Raw genomic sequence first — 18,916 nt, 5'->3', positions numbered from 1 at the left:
ACACCCCACTTAACACATGGGTAAATTAAATAAAAGCACTTGAAAAGTTCCATTAAGATTAGTTTAGAAAAATCTGCTGGGAAAATTTATCATTTTCTTCCTGTACTTTCCAGAATTCTATAGTGATTCACTCAAGTGAGAAGAAAAAAAAAAAAGAAAGAAAGAAAAGAAGGAAGGACACCAAATGGTTCTTTTCAACAAACTAGTCATCCTGGCAACTCTGCAGGACTCAAAAGGAGAATGTACTTTACATCTCCTTTTCCCTAGAAAGGCTCCACATTATCAAACACTCTCCTTATGGTAAGTAAGAAACCCAAACCACTTGAGTGATAATGTCATAAGCACAGTTCTCATTTCCATTCTTTTTCCTTTGCGAATAACTAACATTCTTTTGTTGTGTGGCTAGAAATAATTTACAACTACATGAGGGACTGATCTCTCTACTCCGTTCCTGTGTAATTCTGTTTTTATGTTATGGGTTTCAAGCAATTTTCACCTATGAATGATAAATTACTAAAAATGTGTTACTATTTGTACTCAAAAGCTAATATACATGTACGTACTGAAAATATTAAGAAATCATTATAGTATTTTAAATTTAATGAAAAAATACATTTAGCAAGTTTTTAAAGTAAATGTTCAAAATGTCATGCCTACACCAGGAAAATACTGTACAAAATGCAATTTTGTAGCATAATTCCTAGTGGTTAGAGTCTAAAGTCACCATGAAAGATACATAAAAATTACTTCTAAAAATCCCTTCAGGGCTGGGCACGGTGGCTCACGCCTGTAATCCCAGCACTTTGGGAGGCCAAGGTGGGTGGATCACAAAGTCAGGAATTCAAGACCAGCCTGGCCAAGATAGTGAAACCCCGTCTCTACTAAAAATACAAAAAAATTAGCTGGGCGTGGTGGTGGGCACCTGTAATCCCAGCCACTCGGGAGGCTGAGGCAGAGAATTGCTTGAACCCGGGAGGCGGAGGTTGCAGTGAGCCAAGATTGCACCGCTACACTCCAGCCTAGGCGACAGAGCAAGACTTGTCTCAAAAAAAAAAAAAAAAAAAAAAAATCCCTTCAATAGATCATATAATACTTATACATGATTTTATATGTTTTATATCATCTTTAAGTAAATCTAACCCAGCCAGTTTCTCTACCAGTGTTAGGTAAGAAGGTAAAGTCCTTTAGATGAAGACTAGGTGAAGAGCTAGGCTTTATTTTTTTTTTTTAAACCAAAAATATAAATTAAGTCTATAAATTCATATAAAATAAAAGTGCATACAAAACTGCAATATTACAGTAAAATAACCACAAAAAGTGTATGGAAATACTCATTATTCAAAATAGCAATGAAAAGAAAGTGAAAAAAGAACCAACTAAAATATTCACAATGGGGCATGACAAAGTACATTATTACAATGGAATGCTGTATAACCATTAAAATCCTAACACCTGTTGTGAGGGTTGGATATAAAAAAAGGAAATCTATGACATAATATAATTTACTTAAATGTAATACATATCATTTATCTTTTAGGGACAAAGAGACATAGTATCAAATAAATATGCTAGCTGCGAACAGTGGTTCACACTTTTTATACCAGTGCTTTGGGAGGCTGAGGTGGGAGAATCGCTTGAGGTCAGGAGTTCGAGACTAACCTGAGCAACATAGTGAAACTCTGTCTCTACAAAAAATAAGATAAAAAATCAGCTGGTCATGGTGGCACACACCTGCAGCCCCAGCTACTAGAGAGGCTAAAGCAAGAGGATCCCTTATGCTCAGGAGTTCAAGATTACAATGAGCCATGATCATGCCACACTGCACTCCAGACTGGATGACAGTGAGACTCTGTCTTGAAAAAAAAAAAAGAAAAGCAAAATGAATGAAAACTACTCCCCCAATTAGGCAACTAAATAACTAATACCATTTCCTAAAGCTATTAATAAGCAATTGATTTCTCCACACACACTCACACTCATACTCATACTCACAAGGTTATATTACCCTTACATACAGAGACATACCTTGAAAGACCTATACTGGGAATACTGACATATGCTTAGCTCTAAACCAACAAATAAAGATAGATGATGGATCGAAATTACATGCTCATATTTCCCCATCAAATTCTCACTGATTCATAAGTTTTAGTCAAAGATACTAAATCAATTTAACCTCAAAGACTATACAGATTAACATTCTATAAATTTGAAGTATTTCTTTCTATTCATGTTATTTTACATATAGTCTTGAAAAGCTGATTTGACTTCACTCACCTCATCATGGGTCACATTTTGTAGCTGGAAATGCATAGGAAGGTTAATCCTCTGATTTAATAGAGAATAAGATACTATCTTAACCCTGAACTTTATTTTTACTTGTGAAATTTATCACCATCAGCTCCTTCTGCACTGTAAGCTCCATTCTTATACATTATATAATGCCTTGTGACACACAGAAGGATAAAAAAATGAATTTTCATGAAATATTTGTTGGATAACTACACTAAAACATTCATGAAATAATGTGAACATAATGCATTGCTTAAATTAATGTAAACAATATACTCATAGTTTGTGAACTAGTAAAAGAGTTAAGTGCCATAAACCAGTGATTATTCAACCTTAAAAACACAATTGTCATCCCATCCCCCCATTAAAAGTAGGAATGCATTTTCAAGCCTTTTAATTTTACACTCACAAACTATTTGCAAAATAGCCCAAGAAACTGTTAAAATACATCACCAAGATCATCTTTTAAATAAATATTAATCCTATTTGTTCAAGCTTTAATTAATATAGATAGAAAAGTATCTACACTTTTCAAGCAACAAATGTCAAAACTGTTGTGGTTTAGTTAACAGTTAAAATTATTTTAAGATACTCTTATTTGCAAATAGTTAAAATTCTTAGCAAAAACTGCATGAAGGAAATGATTTTAAAATGTATTTAGTCTTAGGACACTTCCTTTTAATGAAAATCTATATAAAATATCCTAAATTAGATATAAGTAGTAACTTCTATCTTAAAATTACTTTTTAATTTACATTTGTGAAACTCTATTTTAAAGTTAATCAATACCTGAAATGACGTTTGCTTTGATGAACACAAAGCTTTGTATCTGGAGTCCACTGATCATCACTGCTATCCTATATCAGTCTCAGCATCCAATGTATTTATTTTGTTTAGTGTACTGTATTTCGAAAATTCTTATCAATATAATTAAGTATTTGTAAATGGTAACAGTTTAACTGTTCATGATAACCATTAGAATCTCATGCTACACTAATACTGTTACAGAAGCTCAAACGAGTAAAAGCAGAAAACTTTGGTTTCAGGTTGAATCATAAGAATATATAATATTTTGAATTGCTTATCATAAATGTAATAAGAAGCACCCAAAATTACATAATAAGTACTGGGATTTTCAAACTATTCCAAATAGCTGACTAAAATTAAATTAGAGGATCTACAGAACTCCCAGGCTACACTATTACCTTCCAATGCAATTGGCAGAGATAAGTTCTTTCCATGACATTTACTAGGTAAGCAGACTGAGTCACTTCACCTCTGAGATTAAATTTCAACATTTGGAACAGCATAGAGAACTCAGAAATAAATTCACACACCTAGAGTGAACGCATTTTCGACAAAGGTGCCAAGAACATGCATTGGGGAAAAGACAGTTTCTTTAATAAATGGTGCTGGGAAAACTGGATACCCATATGCAGAAGAATGAAACTAGACAACCATCTCATGCCATATACAAAAATCAAATGAATATGGATTACAGGCTTAAATCTAAGACCTCAAACTATGAAACTACTACAACAAAGTATTGGGGAAACTCTCCAGGACATTGGTCTGGGCAAAAAATTATTGAGTAATATCCTACGAGCATAACAAATTAAAGCAAAAATGGACAAATGGGATCACATCAAGTTAAAAAGCTTCTGCATAGCAAAGGAAACAATCAACAAAGTGAGGAGACAACTCATAGATTGGAAGAAAATTGCAAATTGCCCATCTGACAAAAGATTAATAACCAGAATTTATAAGGAGCTCAAACAACTCTATAGGAAGGAATCTAATAATCTGATTTTTAAAATGGACAAAATATTTGAATAGACATTTCTCAAAAGAAGAAAACAGGCATATGAAAAGGTCACCGATCATCACCGATCATCAGAGTAATGCACAGAGAAATGCACATCGAAAAGACAATGAGATATCATCTCATCCCAGGTAAAATGACTTACATCCAAAAGCCAGGCAATAACAAATGTTGGCGAGGATATGGAGAAAAGGGAACCCTTGTATACTGTTGGTGGGAATGTAAATTAGTACAACCACTATGGAAAACGGTTTGGAGGTTCCTCAAAAAAACTAAAAACAAAGCTACCACATAATCCCGAAATCCCACTCTGGAGTATATACCCAAAAGAAAGAAGATTAGTATATCAAAGAGATAGCTGCACTCCTATGTTGCAGCACTGTTCACAACAGCCAAGATTTGGAAGCAACCAAAGTGTCCATCAACAGATAAATGGATAAAGAAAACATACTATCTACTTCACAATGGAGTACTATTCAGACACAGAAAAGAATGAGTTCCTGTCATTTGCAACAACATGGATGGAACTGGAGGCCATTATGTTAAACGAAGTAAGATAGGCACAGAAAGATCAATGTTGCATATTCTTACTTATTCTGGGGATCCAAACGTCCCCAAACTCATGGAGATAGGGAGTGGAAGCATGATTACTAAAGGCTGGGAAGGGTGGCAGGGAGGTGGGGATGATTAATAGGTACAAAAAATGGAATGACTGAATAAGACCTAGTATTTGATAGCACAACAAGGTGACTATAATCAATAATAATTTAATTGCACATGTTTAAATAATGCCAAAGGGTATCATTGGATTGTTTGTAACACAAAGGGTAAATGCTTGAGGGGATGGATATCACATTTTCCATGATGTGATTGTTATGCATTGCCGGCCTGTATCAAAACATCTCATGGACCTCATAAATAGATACACCTATCATGTACCCACAAAATAAAAAATTAATAAATAAATACAAATAAATTTCAACATTCAGAAATGAAGCAGTGAGAATAAAATTAAAATGTATATGAATATGTTTGAATGATAAAGCCCTCTACAAATGTAGAATAACTGTTAAGACAAATTATCATTTCAGTACACATATGCTCTTAGCAGTTACGTCCTTTCTCCTTCATGCTGGAGAAATTATGTTTTCCTTTTCACATTTTTAGAGATAATTGTCATGAATTGTAGTGAAAGTTCCTCAAAAATCTTTTCTTTTCAGTTTCTACCTACATCCTACTAAAGAGTGTGTACATAGATATTGAAAATATCTAGAAAAGAGTTCAAGTGCAGTAAAACATCAGTGAGGAACTACTTCACTAATTAATTAATTCAAAAAGGTTTATTGAGTGCTTCCTGTGTGCCAGGTACTGTCTAGGTACTGGAAATCATCATTAAGATAAACTGTATTGTCATAAAGCTATCGCCTAATGGGAGAAGAAGGCATCAAACAAGAAAACAAACAAACAAAAAAGAGTGAAATAAAATTTCAGGTATTGATAAATAATCCAAAATAAGTTTCGCTTATTTTTTTTGTCTTTTTTTTTTTTTCCTTTTTCTGGAGAATGGGGTCTCGCTATATTGCCCAGGCAGTCTCGAACTCCTGGGCTCAAGCTATCCTCCCGCCTCTTGCCTCCCTGAGAGCTCGGATTACAGGCGTGAGCCACCGCGCCCGGCCCCAAAATAAGTTTCATACTTAGATAGTCTCATCTTCTGGAGCTCAATGGATGGAGATCAAGGGGAAGTAGAAAAATAAAGCAATGGTTTGGAGGACAACACCTGATACATGCTAAATACTAAATAAGTGTTGGTTGTTTTGGTGGTTGTTAATATCTTTATTATCACCATTCATCTCAAAAATGTAAATAGGATGTAAAAATGGAAGGTTAGAAGTTGTAGGATTATCTTCTTTGTATGAAAGTCAGGACCTAAAAATGGGTAAACATGTCTTTAACTCCATATTAGAAAACATGTGAGACTCAGAAGAAACTGGTCTGATAAGAAGAAAAGAATGTGGGGAAGAAAATGAGGCTGTGTAGATTGCGGGGTTTCACAGTATATAAGCCTCTTGATTTTCCACATTTATGGACTTCGAAAATGCAGGAAACAGATAACTAGATACAGGATTTTCTATTATGTTTTCAAATAACTTCTGAAACTAAGTTGGTATTCAATTGGTGTTAAATCTGTTAGCAAATTTACATGTTAAGTATATCATTCTGTTTTTAAAATAATGAGTGATTCTCTGCAAGGCCATGGATAGTTCTCATTAAATTAGGTGTTAGGCAAATACCACTAATATAGAAGCCTATCCTATGAAGATGTTACCAATTTCTGACAATTGCATTATTTCCTTACCTCCAGGGCCAAATAACAAATGAGTAGACTGAAAGAGCAAATTTAGTAAAAGTGGCCATCTTGCTCCTGAAGAACAATAAGTATCAAGATAAATTTAATATTTCTTAGTCAATGGGACCATATTTTGGGATAACTTTTTGGCAAATATGAACTTCAATGGATTTCTATTTAGGATTTAATAAAAAGTGAAAGCTGAAATTGAAATGATCAGAGAGTATTTAAAAAATCTATCTTGGATAATCTCCGATAAGGAACAAATGCCAAAAGGAGTTTGAAAACATGACATAGCCCTGAAGCCTCTATGAACACTCTATATTTGCACTGTTCTATGTGATAGCCACTGGCCTGTGAGCTCCTGAAATGTGGCTGTTCTGTGCTGTTAAGTATACAATACAAACTAGATATCAAAGACTTAGCACAAAAAACAGAATATTTTAAAAGTAATTTTATATTGGTTACATGTTAAAATAATTTTTGATACACTGAGCTACATAAAATCTTTATGAAAATTAATTTCAGCTGTTTCACTTTTTAACTTTTTTAATATGTCTTTTAGAAAATTTACAGTTACATATGTGGCTGGCTTGCATGACTTGCATCGTTTCTTTTGAACAGTGATCTAGAGAAAGCTTGTTCATGGCTATTGTTGACCTCCTTCTTTCTCTTCCATTTCCTTTCTCCCCTCTTCCACGCTTCCCTTTTTCTTTTAAGTTGTACCACTGTCCAGTGGGAGGACTAGAACAGGGAAAAAGATCCAGCAATTATGAAATAAAAAGATTGCATACATGATGAAATGGGTTCAGAATAAAACAAAATATTTTCATACTATTGGTTCACTAATCTACTTTAAATTATCAATAAAGCTATATCATTAGAGCCATTGTAAAAAATCTAAAAGCATAGATATTTTCTAAATTCATTTTATATATTTTATAGTACTTAACAGTTTCTAATAAGTTTATTTGAAGTTTTGAGTAATCTCAATATATTCCAGGATAAACTTCACTCTCCTGAACAATAGACTTCATATTAAAGCATAAAATAAGGATAAATACAAAGGTGCAAACTCATGTTAATTGTACCTCTACCCTGACTCTCTCCTATTTTCCTCAAAATTTCACCATTTACTTTCATCTTCCAGTTTTTTTTCCAGACAATTTGCTCTAAATCTTTTTGTTGCTGTTGTTCCTCTCACTTGGCCCCCTTTACTTTTTTGTCTACACACCTCTTCTCTACACTGTCATACATTCCTGGCTTTGGAATACAATGGAACGAGAGTAATACATAATCTCCCAACCTGAGGACTCACCAAGTCACTAGAAAGGGGAGAAAGAAATTGCATGCTAGTTTGTTCAAGTGCCTTAATAACCCAAAGAACTACAAGCAATCATCTTTACTTTTCTTAATAGTCATAACTTTATGCATTGTCACTTTTCACATAAAGCATTTCCTTTTCCTGAAAACTGTCTATTCAGGAGGGTAAGACCAATGTTTTCTGATTTTTAAAAACTTATGTTTTTATTTTTTTGAGATGGAGTCTCGCTCTGTCGCTGGGCTGGAGTGCAATGGTGCGATCTTGGCTCACTGCAACCTCTGCCTCCCAGGTTCAAACAATTCTCCTTCCTTAGCCTCCTGAGTAGCTGGGACTACAGGCGCATGCCACCACACCCAGCTAATTTTTGTATTTTTAGTAGAGATGGATGGGGTTTCACACCATGTTGACCCAAATACAGTGACTTACATATAATAGATCCCCGACAAATATTGTCTAAATATACAAACAATTGTTGAAATTCTCACCCATTATGCCCACAGAAGAGACATTATGGAAGACTCTGAAAAGAGGGGCTAGAATCAGAATCAATTGCACTACAGTTCTAAATGTAAGCATTGTGTGTTTTTAACATGCTGTGCAGAGGGAGCTATTGTGAGGGCATTAATTATGTGAGCGTGTCTATTTTATTGGACAAATGTTGCTGACCTATTGCTGTACCAATCAAAGTATCTCCTTTTTTCCATCTGTTGAACAAAATACAGTAGTCCACATTCAAGTTGTGAAGCCAAAAACTCCTGGGTTCAGATCTTTACTCAGCCATTTAATAGCAAGAAGACATTTAACAAGTCAACTGTCTGATCCTCTCTTTTCTCCTAAATATTATTATCTATGGTAATATACTCTCCTAGTGTTGCAAAGATGAGGCTCTATCTGACTAAGCATTTCTCAGTCAGTCTGGTCCAGAATGTTGATTCATAAATAGAATGAGATCTCAACAGAGCAGCAGCAACAGAACTAGCAGTAAATATAGCTATATACCTGCTATCTGGACTTCTGATGTTAATAAAAATGTATTAACAAATACTCCATAGCTTTCTTTTCAATCTGAATCATTCACTGTTATACTTAATTATAGGATCCTATATTCATTTCCTTGGTTTTGAAAAGAGACTTCCTTACAAAGGGTTGCATTGCTGTATCCACTGCAGAATTTATTTCTGTAGTAACTGAAAATTCTTTTCAAATGTAAGCAAGATACACAAACACATTACATATCTATAGCTTCCTTCAAAATGTTCCAAAGAAAGGACTAAAGTCCTAGAAGTCACAAATGAAAAAAAAAAATCTGTTTTGGTCTTAGTTGATTGTAAAGCTCTAAAAATATCACTGATACTTTTGATACATTTATAGTTTTCCTTTCCACCTCCTCACTTGTCATCCTGTTACAGGTTTTTTAAATCACGTTTTCAAAATTACACTTTTAATACTCAGCTTCACCTCACAATATCTTAACTTCTCAAAATCAGCAGTGTCTTCCTTTCTTAGCCACATGCTTTACCATACTCTAAAATTTATTCACCATTTGACGATGTTCCACTGTCAAACGCTAGAAATACAATAGTCTTTTCTGACCAAACCTATCCATCCTTGCACTACTCTCATTCTATTAAAATTAGTGAGTCTGCTATTCATTTTCATCCTGCTCTTCAGGCTTTCAAATCTTACCAGTTCTTATTCTGTTCATCTCGTAGAGCTGCCCTTGCTCTCTTTCTCAGCCCAGATTTATTTATATCTTCATATCCACTACCTCTGGAAAGCTCCTCACTTTGTTTTACACAAAGTGGATGCCTTTCTAGTCTCTAACCAAGTAATCCTCAACTGTTTCCTTAACCCATTCAGATTACAGGCTAAGTGTTCCTAGAGAAGTGATGTAACTGTGTTGACTAAAGTGACAACAAATGCTAATTTTGCCAAGTTCCTCATTACAGCTCTAGAATCTTTCTATATTTCATGCTTATTCCCTACTACACTCCCCTAGCTCCTATCTCCATACCAGTTAATTTCAACCTAGGACCTCATTTACAATTATCTGAGAAGACTGAAGTCACCATTAAATGGCAAACTCTTTGCAGTCAGCATTGTTATCAGTTTTATTTACCACAGAATCCTCATCCTCCAGCACAGTACTTACAAAGAAAATGCTCAAGAAATATCTGTTAAATAAATAATGAGTTACTTAGTTTAACTAATGAACTGATTCAATTCTCTTCCTCTTCTGAGACGTAACCAGCATCTCCTTGCGCTACTACTAATCACACCAACCTTCTTAGAACATTCTGAAATTGACCCTGAAAAATTATTTTCCTTTCTATTATACCTCCACCTCTTCCTGCAAGGGGATTCCATCCTGAAAAACATAAAGATGCATTCATATTTTCCTTACTGTGGCTTTAAAAATATCCTTCCTTCAATAATATTACTTCGATGAGTAATATTTCATTCCCACAATTTAACATTAAACTTCATTTTTTTTGTCTCCATATCTTCAAGATCCCAGATGACCTTAAACATGGGCAATTGGACTTCTGCTTCTATTTAGCCTCAATAAACATATTTTTTTCTCAATGGCAACTAATAGACTATTCAACTTTCCTTACGAAAAAAAATTCAAATAGATGGAATACTAGAAAGAATAACACAATAAAACCAGCATAAGCACTCCCTGATTTAAAGTTGGTTAACAAATGATTATTTTACATATACACGTACACAACCCCCCCCCCCACACACACACACACACACACTCCCTCCCTCACTCCTTTGATGACTCATAAGAAATTCAGTTGCGGGCTGGGCACGGTGATTCCAGCAGTTTGGGAGGCCAAGGCAGGCAGATCACGAGGTCAGGAGCTCAAGACCAGCCTGGTCAACATGGTGAAACTCTGTCTCTACTAAATATACAAAAAATAACTGGGCATGTTGGCACACGCCTGTAATCTTAGCTATTCAGGAGGCTGAGGAAGGGGAATTGCTTGAACATGGTAAGCGGAGGTTGCAGTGAGCCGAAATCGTGTCACTGCACTCTAGCCTAGGCAACAGAGCAAGACTTTGTCTCAAAAAAAGAAAGAAAAAAAAAAAGAAAATTCAGTTTCATGTATCACTGCATTTATCCCAAATAATTCAGCACTCATCTGCTAATATCATCTGTTTTCTAGCCCATATGAAAAATTTCCCAATTCTACCAAAATTTGACTTTTTATAGACCACATTTTTAAAAAGTGAAATAAAATAAATCTTCAAGCACTGCATTTGTTTGTCTTTAGTCCTTTTTAATCTGGAAAAGTCCTCCCACAGTGGCACTGACATTTTACAAGTCTAGGCCACAGGGCTGGTATGTATCTTCAATGTGGAATACCTCACCTTATGCATTTGTCTCATTATTTCCTCATGGTTTAGTTTAACTGGTCCTTTCTCTGAATTTTTCTATAAACTGGAAGTTAAATCTAACCAGGTTTTATTAGATTCAGGTTAGACATTCTAGCAACAATATTTCACAAATGGCACTATAGCCTTTATATGGCATCTCGTCAGGAGGCTCATAGTGTCAGGTTGTCTATTGGTGATGTTGGGTTAAATCATTCAGTCACTTAAAACGATGACTTGCAGATGCAATTAATACTTGAGCACTATGAGAATATGTTATTCATCAAAATAATTTTAATTGATTATTTTATCACTTGTTGATCATCTTTGACTGAATCACTTACTTCACTGAGAGTTACAAATAGTAATTTTCTAATTCTTACATTTCTTACACTTAATTCACATTATTTTGTAAAAAGCTGTCCCTCATCAACTAAGAAAGGCAGGCTAATCATTTAATTATCTCAATTTAATTATTAATTGTCATTTTTCTTTTTTATATATTTATTTAGAGTATCATTATGCACTCATGGATTTTACTTTACTCAACGTTTACAATTTGTTATATTCACTCTTGAAATTCAAACTGATTTAAATTGCACAACTGGAAGGCCCTTCAAGCTAGCACTTGTTTACAATGATACAGCCTTATTTGTCTTTGACCATTTCCTTACTTTCTGCAGTGAGTTGTCCCAGGCTCATCTTGTGTTTTTTCTGCCCAGACTTAGAATCAGCCAATTCTAGGTTAAGGAAGACTAAAGGGCTCTTGTCCTCTTGAATGGGGAATGATATTAAGAAGCCATGCTTTGTGCACTAGAAGGGCTCATTGCTTCCTGAAAGACATTGCTTTGAAGATTTTTCAGTAGACATAGCTAGTAAATATATTTATTTTTAAAGCTTTATAGTGTATTTTATTATGTAACAGGTTAGCCCTCTCTTCTTTCTCAGAATATTCTCTGCTATTTTTGCATATAAATATAAATTTCAAATCAATTTAGCTAGTTTCAGGAAAAACTTCCTACTGGTCTTCCTATTTAGATCATGTTATCACTGTACACACACACACACACACACACACACACACAATCACACACACACACGACACATACAATCCTGGGAACAACAGCCCTCTTTATGACGCTGCCACATCATATTGAGGATCATCAATCACATTCATTTAGTTTATTTCAAAAATTCATGGATTTTAATGACAGATTACAAAGCTTTTATCTCAGGTCTTATCTTCTTTTGAGCCTATGCAGCATTAGCTCTGTTGAACAATACTTACATACACACACACACACCCCACATACTTTTTCTGAGCTTCAGTGGCTATCATCCTAACTCTATTTTTCTGCCCTTTATCAGCCCCTTTTACATTCACTCAAAAAAAAAAGCAGATGTTCCCAAATTTCTACCTGTGCAGGACTTATTCCCACTTAAAGAGTTTTAATGTAGATGATACTGTCATATCTCCTTCTAGCCTTAAGTGTGCTTCCCAGCTCTAGACCTGAATTTCCATTGCACATTGGTCATTTAATCCAGAAGTTAATGTCAGAACTTCAAATTACTATGTTCAAAATTGAATCATTTTCCCACCTCCAACCAAATAAGGCTCTCCTACAGATACTACTTTCTCTTGTTTTGTTTTATACCACCTGTTTTCAAGATATCCAGATTCCAAAATTCAAAGGCAGCATTTAACCCTCCCTATACTTTGACCTCTAAATCCACTGATTTTATGAACGTGAGGACTTATGACCAAGTCTTTAAAAATCCATCTCATCATGTGCATTCACACTGTTTCCACTATAGTTTATGTTTCCCATTCTGCATTGAAAGTATTCACTTTTTCAAGTTCCAAGGAAACTAATGATGGAAGACATTCTTGCACATCTGAAGAGGCAATTAAACACAGAATCCTCAAATAATATGTTACACTTATATGTGTTTTATGTTACTAACATAAAATGAGCTTGATAAATGTCACATACAAATATGTGTAACAGTAAAATTGTGAGGTGTTATGATGTTGATGGTGAGATGTTGGTAGACAGACAAGACACCTATATTTACAGAGCTCTGTGTTATGAAAGAATTAGCTGTTCAGCTTTCCTTGCACAAAAGACTAATTTTCCACATCACACTGCAAAAGCTCCAAGAGTAGAGATTACATTTTGTACTCAGTAAGTAAATGCTGAATGTGTTTCCCAGGCTCTCTGCAAAGCAACTAAGGACAGAGAACCGTCTCTTCTGACCCAACCACAGAGCAACAGTGGTAACTCACAAATGTGATGCCATGCATTGGCTCTCTTCAGAAAACCCGTCTTGAAGAGATGTGTGATGACATGGTCACAGAAAGGTCCTTTCAGGACCAGTTAAGAGTATCTGTGTGGGGCAATATTCTTTTGTTTCTGCTCAAAGCACTCACTAGTGGAAAGCACTCCCTGTTGAAAACTTGCCAAACTACAGACATCTTAAGTAATGTATCAAGAATAAATACATAACAGTTGTTTTATATTAGGAAAAACAAAAGAAACAAAAAAATCATCTCCACAAATGAAGCATATCTGTGTAGGAAAAAAAAAAAAAACATGAGTCGTCAGTTAAGACTTCCTACATGTCAAATTTCCCTTTACCACCTATGGAGCTCTGAGCTCCAAGTCTCAGTTTCCTCCAACATATAAAATAATACTATTATCTAATCACGGAAGGGAAGTACAAATGGAATTGCATTCATTTGACACATCAATTTCTTTCCCTCTCATCTTGATTTAATGAAAAAATAGCCGTTCCTTACTCCCACCTGTTAATAATTTCCGAAATGACTCAGAAATGTGTTGCTCCTCTTATTATTTAGCATATGGCTATCAAAATGTGTATAAACATTTTCTCTAAACACATGGATTATGTATGAATGCAATCAATTCCCACTCTGAAGTTTGGGAAAGAATTCAAGCAAAAAGCATATTAGTGAGTTAAATGGAATTTTGCCAAACATATTTATGCACAGAAAATCTCTAGTATTTTGTAATATAAGAGCACTTAGTGATGCATGCTATTGTATCTTTCAGAAGACCAGTGCAAGACTTCCACGTTCTACTCCATAATTTTCCTCTCTATTTAGATTTTTACATGGTCAAATAAATAACTCTTAGAGTCTTGACCCCCAGCTGAGGAGTCTGCAAGGACAGCCCAGAAAATGTAAATCCTAAATACTAACTCAAGTCCTCCAACTGCCATCTCTGTGGCTACAAATGGATAGAAAAAGACATTAAACCAATGCCTCTATTTTCCAGGACTCAGTCCCAGAAAAATAGCAGGATAATTCAAAACTAGCAAACAAAAATCTTTTTAAACGTAAGGAAGAATTTAGAAAAACACAAAGTTAATTTTCCACAAGGTAAGTTTGATATTTAACATAAGTCTAACAAAAGAAAACAAAATTCCCAATGTATTATTGAAAATCTAAAAGCAATGAGGATAAGCAAAACTACTAAAGTTGGCAATAGCTGTGTTATATCTATGCAGTCTGCACATCAAAATTTAATAATAAAAGGAAGGGTGATGACAAGTATAATTATGTAAACTTGTTAACAGTGTAACTTGCTATTGATACATTCAGAAATCAGATATTACTTACATGTTATTGAATATTGTTTTCAAAATCATGATTTAGCAAAACAAACTGTTGTTATTGCCAATAAAATGAAAGTTTATGTTGCCTGCCAATTACTGAAGAGAAATTTATTAAATCAAAGAATCAAACTGAATTATGGAAATGGCATCTTTACAAGCATTCGTACAGGTCACTGGAAGTAGTAGATAGTAACAGTAATAAGAGAATAATAACAATAACTGCAGATCAATAAGGACCTTTTTAAACATGTTATTATTTACTTTCTGGAAGTCCATAAAAATTTGAAGAATAAAATTAATCATTACTTCAGGTTTTCATAGCAAAACACAGAGTTTTCATAATGACAGTATGATAAAAGAAGTAAAGAAATAACTATTTTTAAAGTCTCAGCTAATCATCATTTAAAAATAAAGATTTCATGGCCGATAAAACTATCTGTACAGCAAACCCCTGTGACATGTAATTTAGCCATGTAACAAAACTGTACATGTACCCCTTGAAACTAAAAGTTGGAAAGAAAAAATAAAAATAAACAACTAAAATAAAAATAAAAGTTTCAAAAGTCAGAGAGAAAAATCAATTGTAATTGAAATATTTTTCTCAAATTCGTCCTTACTATTCAAACAATCTTACATACCCACTTCACTTCTCTTCTACTTCCATAATGGAGCTTTTTGAAGACTTGAAATGTAGAGTTATATCAATGAATGCCCTGCTTAATTAGTTGCTTACACTATCAGTAAACAGTAAACAAAACATGACCACACTTTTACTGGGGTAGAGTTGCAAAAACGCAACAGACCTATACTTCTCACTGGAATTTCTATATACTTACTACTGGCTCTTAAAATAAGTCAATATTGCATTTAAGGAACAGCTATCCAAATATTTCACATTTCTTTTAATTAGGAAGAAAATTTTAGCATATCAAATTATTTTTCTAATTAACAATTTGTATATTCTTAAGGCATCATTTATTTGTATTATTATAGTAGCTCTTTTAACCACTAGACTTTCATATAAATTAGAGAAAATAAACCAATTATCATTTTTAAGAAAGGTAACACATCTATTATGGCTAAGGATGTGTCTTTATAATTTTATGTTTGGAACTTTTCCCCCTTGTATATACACCACCACGGTGTGGCTATTTGATGCATGTTAAGAAAAAAATCAGGGTGTTACTTGATTATGACCATAAAAAATAAATATGAAAAATAATTAACTGTTAATCTTCAATGATGAAAAGTTATTCATTTAAATATTCTTCAACAGACCACACACTCAAGACAGAATTCCAACTAGAACTTTCTTTCTTTATATCAAGACTGAGATAGACATTGAAAAATTAATTTAGTAATCCAAGATTTTAAACAATACCCACATTTTATTATCCCATAAAAAGTTCTTGAAAATTTAACAGGTTTTCATTTTGTGATTATTTCTTTGTCACAGTTTAGATAGTACAATGTTTGAGGTCAGATAGTGATCCAATGCCAATTTAATTTGTGGGTCTTATTTCCCTCAGTCCCCACCTTTACCTTGGAAACCCTCTCTCATTACAAAATAGAAACTTTTTTTTCCCTCCTTCTCGCTTAGTAAGCAGTTGAAAAGATCTGCACAATTAAATTGATCTAAATCCCTGTGGGTCGCTTGGCGAATGAAAAAATACATTTTTTCCATGAGAAGCCAGTAGGCGGTGCTAAATCTAGGATACTACCTTCAACAATTTTAAATCAAAAACTAAACAGGTGGCCAGTTTAAGAGTTGTAGAATTCCCAGAATGATTCACACAGGAAGAAATCTGAAAAATTTGAATGTAATAGATAGAAATGTAATACAAGTCTACAATATAATTAAAAATGAATCTTAAATAAATGAAAACATAGATAACTAAAGGTTCTTAGAATGATCTTAAGTTACAGAAATTAAAGCACAACTACCTCTCTGTCCTCACATTAAAATCGTCTTTGGTCCCATTAATTGTTTCAATCTCATTGGGAAATATCACACAGTACAGCTAGTGCTTTGCCCAATCTTAAACCACATACTACCTCAACCTTAGGGCAGCAACTGATTCTCTTAATGAAAATGCAGGTTCGATCATTCAAGTTCTTGCTTGCTTGCTCTGTCTCTCTCTCTCTTAAAAGAACTAAACGACTTACAATACATAAAACATACAAAAATATATTATACACATAAATTGTCTTGCATTTTAATAAATGAGCATTTCTATGTACATACATTGTTATAATTGAAATGATTTTTAAAATCACAGAATGTTGCAAGTGGCTTTTTTAATGTTTTATGTTAGCTGTTTGAGGCATATGAAAGACTGTATTTTAGTAATTAGCTCACTATACAAAATAAGAAAATCCTAATTTCAGGCTTAGTGCCATCATATTGGCTTCAAATCTTAGAACTATACACCTCAAGATATCAAATATGGTGTCCACAGACAGTGACATAAACTATCTTCTTTATATAAATGCAACAGGATTTCCTTCACAGAGAAAAGCTACTCGGAGAACAAAATAACTCACATACATTGTATTTCCCCGCCAGGAAATACAATGAAATGTCCAAAGACTTTTGAGATACTTGCATGAGTTGTGAATAAAAAATATATACAACTTTCCAGATATTACACTAACTTTTAATCTTCTACAGTTAAATGGCCCATTGCACGCCTTACTTTTTGACCACAAAGAGTAAAAACTAAGGCGTAAAACCTTTCATTCCACAAACTGAGGTTACAGACAGTGAAATATTTGCTTGAAAAAGCCAGTGTATGTTATAAACCCCTTTGTCATGGGCCCCTCTGTATGTTGCAGTCAGTTTTTATTTCTGTAGTTACCTAGAAGAAAACTTCATCTGAGAGGTAAAAAGTTGTTGTTTCATTTGCTTTATGTTTATTTTACAGAATTCAAAGTATATACACATGGTAATTTAAAGCTAAGCTTTTCATTTAAGGGGGGAAAAGGTAAGAAAATCAAAGCTTCAAAATCAAAGTATTTAAATAATGGTGACTCTCCAGATTTTAAGATGTATGCCTTCAGGAAATTTATTTGGACAGAAAAATTTCCAGCAGATTCGGTCACAGTGTTAAATACAGAAAAGGCTTTTTATTGCCAACTGGTACGTCTCTGAAAAGTAATGCTAAATTATACTGAAAACATGTAACAGGATAATCATAAAATATCATAGAATACATTCAACATTGAATACGTCAGTGCTACCAACACACGAAATCATCACCTCTATCACCAACCCCTCACTCCTGCCCTGTACACAGTTCTCAGGGGAAAACCTTTAGAGCCAGTATCAGGTGGTTAAAAAGAGGGAAAACTCTGCCCCTTTAACAAAATTTAAATAAAAGGCATTTTTTTAATACCTTAGAGGTGTAGGGTCATTACTGCAAACTAACAGCGTCGTCCTCAACATTAAACCCAAGTGATCATCTTATAAGAAACTATTTCCCCATCCCCTGGAAGACGACACCAGCAGGCACTTAAAACCAACGCAACACAACAGGGAAAAAAAAGATCCAAAGACAGCATCCCTAAGAAAGCAAAGCCCTTTGGTAAAGCAAAATAGGCTGGGTAGGACCTACTGCGTCGTTTACTCATTGCGAAGAGGAGGAGCAGGAGTTGAGCGTGCGAGGGCCGGTGCCATCCTCAAGGCTCTGGAAATGTCTCCAGCTCCGGCTCGCGTGGCCTGGAGCCAGCCCCTCCGGAATATGCGGTCTCTGCCGCTTCTACCCCCATCTCCCGGGTGCTCTGAGGGTCCCCTCTAGCCCGCCCGACGGCCAGCGCCACGTACACGGCCCTCGCCCCTCCTGCTGTGCAAGTGGCCCTCGGAGAACTTACAGGGCCCGCCGGCCGCCTAGTGCCCGGCCGGCGCGGCCCGCAGCGCAGACGCCACCCGCCCCGCCGGGAGACGACCTGGGCGCAGCTCACCGTGGGAGGGGTGGGGGGAGGGGACTGTATTTTGCGCACATCTAGAAAACGATCCTGAAGCAGGGAACGGACTTTGGTTTTCCCTGGCTCCCTGCGCCGCTCTCCCCACCTCGGGCTCGGACACTGCCCGGAGATGCGCGCGCGCAAA

General features: G+C 35.0%; 1 protein-coding gene across 53 annotated transcripts in view; it reads right to left on the bottom strand.

The window, feature by feature from the left end:
- The window catches only part of RALYL (RALY RNA binding protein like), a 739,058-nt gene that overhangs the window by 718,408 nt on the left and 1,734 nt on the right, over positions 1 to 18,916 (bottom strand). For 9 of the 53 annotated variants that reach the window (NM_001413318.1, NM_001100391.3, NM_001413319.1 and 6 more), the window contains exon 1: positions 18,423 to 18,766. The exons of 39 other annotated variants lie outside the window; for them this stretch is intronic. Coding sequence is in view for 9 of the 14 variants with exons in the window: in NM_001100391.3 (NP_001093861.1) it covers positions 18,423 to 18,438 (16 nt within the window). In the remaining 5 variants the exon portion in view is untranslated. Of the gene's footprint in view, positions 1 to 18,203; positions 18,767 to 18,916 lie in introns of those variants that run through there. 5 more of the 53 variants (NM_001413323.1, NM_001413321.1, NM_001413322.1 and 2 more) reach the window with 2 other exon arrangements.

Source organism: Homo sapiens, chromosome 8 (assembly GCF_000001405.40).
Source record: "Homo sapiens chromosome 8, GRCh38.p14 Primary Assembly".
NCBI lineage: Eukaryota > Metazoa > Chordata > Mammalia > Primates > Hominidae > Homo > Homo sapiens.
Note: the sequence above shows the minus strand (reverse complement) of the source record. Positions and strands in the feature narration are given on the sequence as shown.